Source organism: Homo sapiens, chromosome 8 (genome assembly GCF_000001405.40).
Source record: "Homo sapiens chromosome 8, GRCh38.p14 Primary Assembly".
NCBI classification, from domain to species: Eukaryota; Metazoa; Chordata; class Mammalia; order Primates; family Hominidae; genus Homo; species Homo sapiens.
In genome coordinates, this window is record NC_000008.11 from 97,511,205 (window position 1) to 97,520,445 (window position 9,241).

Below are 9,241 nucleotides of genomic sequence, written 5' to 3' on the forward strand. Positions count from 1 at the left end.
CATTGACTTGGTGTTGGTTGATTGGTGGAAACCTATAAGGCTTTGAGGGGGCTGTTGGTGAAGTATTAAAGGAACATTTTTTTTTTTCAATGTTATTGAAAGCTGGAGAAGAGGACACCCTTGCTAGTAGAGGCAGAAAGTTTAGCAACACTGTCACTTGCAGTAACGTAGAAAGTAGGGTTGTATCTAATAAACTCAGTGAACTAGATTAGGAGATTTCTAGTCACAATATTGAAAATGACAGCCGGCTTCTTCTTGTATCCTACAAAAAAATGTGAGGAAAGAAATCAGTTAAGGAATGGAGTGTTGAATATAAAGAAGACAGGACTTAGTGGGTTCAAACATAAAACTGTTTTCCATTCTCAGCCTCTTGAGTGGCAAACAATTATTAAATTAACAAAGGATTTCAGGCCAAAAGTCAAATCTAGGCTGGGACACTAAGAACCTTTGTTTGAACCTTGTAGCATCTTTCCAATGAGCAAAAGTTCTGAAGATCTGAAGGGCATACTTCAGAGACATTCTCCATTAAACAATGTGGTTTCTAACAACTACAAGGGTATTGTCCCACAGTAGTCTCACAGAGAGCCTGAGGTAGAAAAGACTTACTGCCAAGAGTTTTGTGGCATGGGTTTTAAGCAATGGAGGGGTTTATAAATAGATACATAGGAAATCTGCAAAGATTTTTTTTTAATTATATCAGCTTTGATTTTAAAAGACAAAGAGCAGAACAGAAACAGGAGTTCTTCTTTGATCCTTAAAGTACTACAAGTAAAGAAACCAGCTGAGAAAACTACTCAGTGGCAAATACTAGCAGTTTCTTATGGAAAAAGAAAGATAACTCAGAGAATAGAAGCAAAAGCCAAGAGAAAACTCCCAGGCAGTAGGACTGAGCCCTAATTAAGGAACTGACAACATACGTCCAGCTCAATTTCAAAATTGCTATGGACTAGTGATAATAGCTGGGAAATCAGTGTGTTTCCTATTTTTTCTCTTTCTAAATGGGAGCGCTATTACAGTTAGTCAAGGCCTATCCCACATTGTATATTTGATGGGTAAGGGGGAAGGCAGATAACTTGTCTCTTTAGTTCACTGGTCTTTAGAGAAACTGCATCAGAGGAGCTACGTGAAGAGTTTCATCACGCTGGACTTGATGTAAGTGATAAGATCCTGGATTTCAAGCTGATGCCATTTTGAGATGAGACTTGGGCTCTTGGAGAAGGGGATGTGTGTATTTTGCATGTGAGAGGTATGTGAACTATTGTGGCCAAAGGGTAGACTGTGGCAGATTGTATTTTCTAATCCCATTACGATCTTCTTACAATATGACTTTGGGACTCCTCACATGAAAAGTGGGGTTTACATCCCCTCCCCTTGAGTCTGGGGTGCAAGTCTGGCTTGGAATTCTGGCAGAAATGACACTGTGTGACTTCCGACCTGTGTGGTTAGATTTTTTAAAGCTATACAGCTTCTGCCTGGTTCTTTTTGGGATTCTCACTCTTAAAACTTAGTCAAAAGAAAAAAAAAAAACTCAGAAACCATGCAGTGAGGAAATTCAATAAGTCACATGGAGAGGCCACATGTGGGTGTTTTGTCTAATGGCCCAAACTAAGGTCCCAGTTGACAGCCATTATCACCACCAGACATGTGAGTAAGTTAGCCCTCCAGTCCTCAGCTGTTGCGTCACCCCAGCCTTTCAGTGTGCCCAGCTGAGATCCAGACATCATGGAACAAGATGTTCCATTTTATGGATACATAGCCCACCAAAACCCATGAGTATAATAAAATTATTATTGTATTATGTCACTAAGTTTGAGGTGACTTATTACTCAGTTATAAAAACTGAACACCTATGAAGTATCTGTCAAGGGCAGAACTCAAGCCTCAGACTCTGGAGACACATCTAGATTTCAGTCTCAATTTCATCCTTTACCAGCTCTACGACTGCAGACAAGTCCGCCAGGTAATTATTACTGTTTTGTGGTTGTTTATAAGGATTTAATGGGATAACACACATCAAGTACAATGCAGAGCACATGACACAGTCATTGAATGCCTGTCTGCTTTGATTGTTCTTCAGATATGCCTTTATTACTATACTTACCATTGAAATTATCTGTTTATGTGCCTGTCTCTTCCACTAGACCATAAGTGCCTTGATACTGGGAACTATATCTTGTTCATCGGAACAGATTAGTGCCTAGCCCAGTTTGCTTAGCTATTTTAAATCTCAAATAATACAACGTATACAAAGTATTTTGTAAGTGGCAATGTGTTTCCGAAGCATACAGTATAATTATAGCTAATTAACTTCGAATTTGATTCATAGCCACAGAGCACTTAATGTGTGGTAAAGCATTTTCATAAGCATCTGACATACTGTTAAAAGTGATCCTCTTAGCAGCATTAGGAAATACTATTTTCATTTTACAAGTGAAGAAACTGAGACTCAGGTCATTTAAAGACTAGCTCAACATCACTCGTGGGGCTGAAATTCACCCACACGCACAGCATTTCCTACTGCACTACAGCTGACATTGCTAAGCCCTCTTGTCCCCCTCTTTCAGAGCCCAACCCTTCAAATATCCCCATCATGAACAAATTTTCATCCTTCAAAAAGGTCAGAAATTATATGGAGATCACACAGATGAATAAAGAAGACATCTATTTGTTTTCTCCAAAACCAGGCATGACAATATAGTAATAAAACTGATTTTCTCCCAAGCTTTAGAAATTCTTCCAAAATAAGAGGTACGACAATGTTTCTAATAACTTTGGAATAAATACTTAAAGGTGAAGATAAATACTTATTTCAATGCATTACTTTATACATTTTCCATCTTCTGAGTGTTCCCTTTAACTATTATGCCTGGCCAAAAGGGAATAGGAAGCTTTAGAAAGATACTTCGCAATCCATACCAGCAGCTTCAAAGAAAGGCGGAAGGCACCAAGTAAAAGGTAAGGAAGATACTTTCAACAACTTGTTGACTCATTTCATAGTCAATGAATAGTCCTGTTATTCCCTTAAGTGATGACTCCATAAAGAAAATGATATTCAAAATATATTCTAAATTGCATTTTAGAGAGGAAAAAGGAGAGGGAGACTTCACACAATTTAAGCAATATTTTTTTCTTACTGTTTCCATCTTGAAAACTATTTCTATAAAAGAAAGCCTAAATTTTTTTTATTACTTTGAAGAAAAATATTATGACTAAGCATGAAAATGCTGGATTTTAAGCTTCCAAGAAAGTAATCCCTTCTTTCAAGTAAAATGAGTTTTAATGAGAAAATTTCTGTTCATAAACTGTTAGCCCCCAGATAATTGTGAAACGCTAGAAATAAAGTTTTAAAATATTATTTACTCATTATTCATTGTTTCATTGAACAAATATTTAAAGAGTGGATGCTGCTGGCAGATACCACCCTGATTGCTGGGAATGCAATGATGAGTCCTAGAAACATAGTCTCTCATTTCAGAGAGTTTCCAATCTAATAGGGAACTCAGCAGTAAGTGCTAAATGTCATAAGGGCAATGAAGGAAACGTTGAGGTGGTAGGTGATCATATAGCAGGAGGATATACCCTAGGCTGTGGGAGGATCTGGAAGGCTTCTCCAAAAGATGACATTTGAACTCAGAGCAGAGGGATGGTACATGAGTTTCCAAGGGCTGTCTAAGAAACCATCACAAACTAGGTGACTTAAAGCCACCGTTTATCCTCTCACCATTCTGGAGGCTGGAAGTCCAAAATTAAGTTGTCAGCAGGGCAATGTTCCCCCTGAGACCCTGGACAGAATCCTTCCTTGCCTCTTCCTTGCTTCTGGTCATGGTCGTCAATCCTAGGCCTTCCTTAGCTTGCAGCTACATCCCTCCAAGGTCTGACTCCTGCCAGATAGTGTTCTCCCTGGGAGTCTTTCATGGCCTTCTTATAGGGACAACAGTCATGTTAGATTAAGGGCTCACCCTACTCCAGAATGGCCTCGTCTTAACTAACAGCACCTGCACCAACCCTATTTCCAAACAAGGTGACATTCTGAGATACTAGGGATCAGGACTTCAACATATCTTTTAGGGGAGCACAATTCAACCCATAACAGAGGGTTAGGAACTAATCTGGAAAAGACAGGTGGGGCAGAGGGAAGGCCCCAGCAAGGCCCTGTGGTAGGAAGGAGCACAGCACATTTGAGGAACAGAGGCAAGGCAGGGTAACTGGCAATGTGTGATCTTGCTTCTTCTCAGCTTATCCAGTTGTGCCTATCTTTCCTCATGACAATTTATCAAAACTATCTTTTTTTTTTTTTTTTGAGACAGAGTTTCGCTCTTGTCCTCCAGGCTGGAATGCAATGGCATGATCTCGGCTCACTGCAACCTCCGCCTTCCGGTTTCAAGCGATTCTCATGCCTCAGCCTCCCAAGTAGCTGGGATTACAGGCATGCACCACCATGCCCAGATAATTTTTGTATTTTTAGTAGAGAGGGGTTTCACCATGTTGGCCAGGCTGGTCTCCAACTCCTGACCTCAAGTGATCTGCCCGTCTCAGCCTCCCAAAGTGCTAGGATTACCAAGGTGAACCACCACACCCAGCCAAAACTATGTTGATAGTTATCTTGATCAGAATCAGAAAGCATGCCATGAGCCTACCATTTCTCTGACTCTGTTTCTGACATCCTCATGGGTAAATCCCTAAAGATGGAACACAGAGATTTCCTGGGCACTATGTCTCTTAGTAACCATGACTGCAACATGATTTAAAATAGTTTGCCCTGTGGAGAGGATGTGGAGAAATAGGAACACTTTTACACTGTTGGTGGGACTGTAAACTAGTTCAACCATTGTGGAAGTCAGTGTGGCGATTCCTCAGGGATCTAGAACTAGAAATACCATTTGACCCAGCCATCCCATTACTGGGTATATACCCAAATGACTATAAATCATGCTGCTATAAAGACACATGCACACGTATGTTTATTGCGGCATTATTCACAATAGCAAAGACTTGGAACCAACCCAAATGTCCAACAATGATAGACTGGATTAAGAAACTGTGGCACATATACACCATGGAATACTATGCAGCCATAAAAAATGAGGAGTTCATGTCCTTTGTAGGGACATGGATGAAATTGGAAACCATCATTGTCAGTAAACTATTGCAAGAACAAAAAACCAAACACCGCATATTCTCACTCATAGGTGGGAATTGAACAATGAGATCACATGGACACAGGAAGGGGAATATCACACTCTGGGGACTGTGGTGGGGTTGGGGGAGGGGGGAGGGATAGCATTGGGAGATATACCTAATGCTAGATGACACGTTAGTGGGTGCAGCGCACCAGCATGGCACATGTATACATATGTAACTAACCTGCACAATGTGCACATGTACCCTAAAACTTAAAGTATAATTAAAAAAAAATAATAAAATAAATAAATAAATAAATAAATAAATAAAATAGTTTGCCCTTCACTCCTTCAGATCCTGGGGGATTTTGCATGCAGTTTGAAGTCTCTGAATAAATTACTAAACCAAGCCTCATTAAAAACAAAAACAAAGAAAAACACCTTGATGGTCTCTTTCATGGTACAAAACAAGTTTGGTTCCCAGAAGGCTGCATCTGAATGAGCATCCACCCTTGTTTTCAAGACCAACCCATATCCTGATGCTGTGGTCATTTGCTTCTTTGAATTCAGATCAACACCATAACCAGTTGTGAGACCACAAATCAAGATGCAATGCCTAGTTAGACAATTCCTGTAAACCCTCCATCTGCTTCCAACATTTAAAGTTGCAACAGATCCCACAAGGTAGCAAAACTAGATAGTTTATGCTGGACTAACTCAACAGCGCTAGAGTGTCAAAGAAACAGTAAACCACAGAGTACCTAAGAGTTGGATCCAATTTTTGGCTACTGTCCCTTGGGAGAGTGGGGTGGGTGCATATGTGTGTACGCGTTTTGCTGTTATCCAGACCACAGTTTACTTTGGAACAGGTTCTTCTAAGAAGTTACATGGGACACTGAGAACATCATGTATTCTCAGGTCAGCTTTTCCTGGAATACAACACAAGTAGCTTGAAATCCATCATGTAATATATTTGTCTCCCTTTCGCAAACTTTATTCAACATCCGTGAACCTGGGCACCAAAGCAGCAACATCAAGACCTGTTGTTGACATGAAAATTCCTCCTGACTCTGTCAGCTTGCTTGTAGTTCAAAGCTCTCAGAGCAAGGCTGGCCAATGCAATACAGAGAGTCACATTATGCCATTTACTTCTACTCGAACCTTCTCTTATCCTACTCATATCATTTGTGAAAAAGGCAAAAAGCCACTCTGGCTCCTTGCATACTAAACAGAAAGTTTCTCCAGAACTGCCCCTCACTAGTTAAGAAGCCAGTAGGGGACAGCTACCAGGTAGAGGAGCTAAGTAAGAGGCTTAATGGTATCCTGGAAAAACATCTGGAGTCAGATGTGGATTTCAATGTGATCCTGCCTACAAGGTACTATTTGGCTGGAGCAAATGATTTGTTTGCAGCTCAATGCCCCTTTCTTTAATTGAGCATACCATGTGCCCCATGCACCTCACAGGGTCATCGAGAGGATTTAATGAGTTAATTATGGGACAAAACTTTGAAAATGATAAAGGGCCATGAGTCCAGGTGCAGTGGCTCATGCCTGTAATCTTAGCACTGTAGGAGGCCAAGGTGGAAGGATCCCTTGAGCCCAGGAGTTTGAGGTTATAGTGAGCCATGATCACGCAGCTGCACTCCAGCCTGGGCAACAGAGTGAGACCCTGTCTCTAGAATTAAAAAAAAAAAAATGAATATTAGAGGTCTGATTATCGATTCCCTTATCTCCAAACCTCTCTCTGAAATCAGTTCCTCTCTGTCCTCACTCCTCACTGTCACCTTCACTCCATGCTCCTCCAGTTGCCCTGTCATGGGAGGCAAAGCATCCCCGTGGGTACCCCCACACTCCCTCTCGGGCATTCTCGCCCACAGCTGCATATTTCATCCCAGTGGCTGTCAACCTGGCTGTACGTTACAGGCAATTTCTTTCTTTTTTTTTTTTTGAGACAGAGTTTCGTTCTTGTTGCCCAGGCTGGAGTGCAGTGGTGTGATCTCGGTTCACCGCAACCTCCGCCTTCCAGGTTCAAGTGATTCTCCTGCCTCAGTCTCCCTAGTGGTTGACATTACAGGCATGCGCCACCACGCCCAACTAATTTTTGTATTTTTAGTAGAGATGGGGTTTTACCATATTGGTCAGGCTGGTTTCGAACTCCTGACCTCAGGTGGTCCACCTGCCTCAGTCTCCCAAAGTGCTGGGATTGCAGGCATGAGCCACTGCACCTGGCCATTAGAAGTAATTTTTTAAATTACCAGTGCCTGGACCCCAGCCCAAAATATTTCATTCAATTCGTCCAGGCTATCCGTAATTCACAATTTTTAAAGCACTCCTGGTGATTCTTGTGGGCCATGAGTGGCTGGTTTTTTTTAAATATCACTGTTTTGAATACAAAAATTAGCCGGGCATGGTGGCGTGCACCTGCAGTCCCAGCTACTTGGGAGGCCAAGACAGCAGAATTGCTTGAACCTGGGCAGCAGAGATTGCAGTGAGCTGAGATCACATCATTGCACTCCATCCCGGGCAACAGAGCAAAACTCCGTCTCAAAACAAAAAAAATTCACTGTTTTGAATCTTACAAACTAAAATCACAATAATAATAAAACTTTTTTGTATATTTACAATGTACTGGGCACTATGATAAATATTTAAATACATTATTTGATCCTCACAGCCACCCATTGAACTAAGTGCCTTTTCTCTCCCCCTTTGCAGAGAGAAACTGAGGCTCACAGAGCTTAGATACCATACTTCCTGACACACAGCTACTAAATGATGCGGTAAGGATTTGGACTCAGCTGTGTCCGACCAGGACACGTGAAGCCACATCACTGGTAAATGAATATGGAGGAACACTGAGAAATCTGATTGTAATTGAGAAAAAGAGGGAAGGTGAAGAAATTTGTCATGCACAATGAATCTTAAAACTCAAACGTCTTCTGAGCCAGCATGGTTAGAGCATTTTTCTCTCTTATATTTCAAATGTCTGGTTGACCCTGGAATACATTAAAATTTGAGGTTAAATTCAATTTTATATTGCATTCCATAAAGCAGCGTTATCTCACTCTCAGATTTCATAGTCCAAATGAAAGCATAAATGATGAGGTTTAGTGGAGGGAAAGGGATTGGGGACTTCCAAATCTTTCCCAGCCAAGAGAGACACCCTTTTCTTTTCCCCTTCTCCACCTCCCTGCAAGTCACAGCAATATGTAATGTGTAATAAGCTTAGGCCATCCACAAGCAATAGAATCTCTGCCTTCTGTGTTTGTTTAGAACAGAGTTCATTCTCATGAAAACGGGTAAGTTCTGCGGTTTTCTAATGGTGCTGGCAGAGCCCTAAGGGTTCCTGGGGTGTCCTGGGTGGAGGAGAGGAAGTCAGACTGAGCTGGGCTGCTGGAGGCAATCGGGCTGCACCAGAGCCACTGAGCTTTTATTCATTCCCTTGACCTTGTAAACGTCACTTAAGTTTCAGTTGTAAGAATGGGCTGCTCCTCTGGTGAAAAGCAAATGCTTGGAAACCACAGTTCTAGTTAGTAAGCTGTGATTCAGACCCTACATGAATTACTAATTTTCAAAGAATAGAATCACAATAAAAAGCACTTAATCCTAAATCTGTGCTGAGCCAATCTGGATGATTCAGAAAGTACCACAAGATCTTACTATAAAAGTAGTGGTTAATAAGATGTTCTGGTTAGTAGAATGATGGTAATGGCATGTGCCACGCTTGGCTCTCCCGATATATCATATGTACACAAAATAAACCCTCAAAATTGCTCTTAGTAGATGTTCAGGAGCTGCTTACAGACCAGTTGGAAAGGATGGATGTCTCCTAATCTCTCCACAGTGTGCAGAAACCTTGTCCAGCCTCCCCATCCTCTACAAAAGCAGCAGCAGCAGCAGCAGCAGCACAAGCCACAGCTCTTTGGAGTCAGTAGCATGGTTTTGCCAAATGGCATTGCAGAATTTTTTTCCATGATGTTTAAAGTGGGAATTTTAGTTGTATTTTTTAATATAAAGCCCAAAACTATAAAAACTCTGGAAGACAACCTAGGCAATACCATCCTGGACATAGGAACGGGCAAAGATTTCATGACAAAGATGCCAAAAGCAATTGAACAAAA

General features: G+C 41.3%; 1 long non-coding RNA gene across 1 annotated transcript; it reads left to right on the forward strand.

Annotated features, from left to right (window-relative positions):
- Positions 1 to 1,840: 1,840 nt before the first annotated feature.
- LOC105375657 (uncharacterized) lies at positions 1,841 to 8,109 on the forward strand. The gene is made up of 3 exons (XR_928437.3): positions 1,841 to 1,960; positions 2,878 to 2,955; positions 7,836 to 8,109. It is a non-coding gene; the product is annotated as an uncharacterized LOC105375657 (long non-coding RNA).
- The last annotated feature ends 1,132 nt before the right edge of the window (positions 8,110 to 9,241 follow it).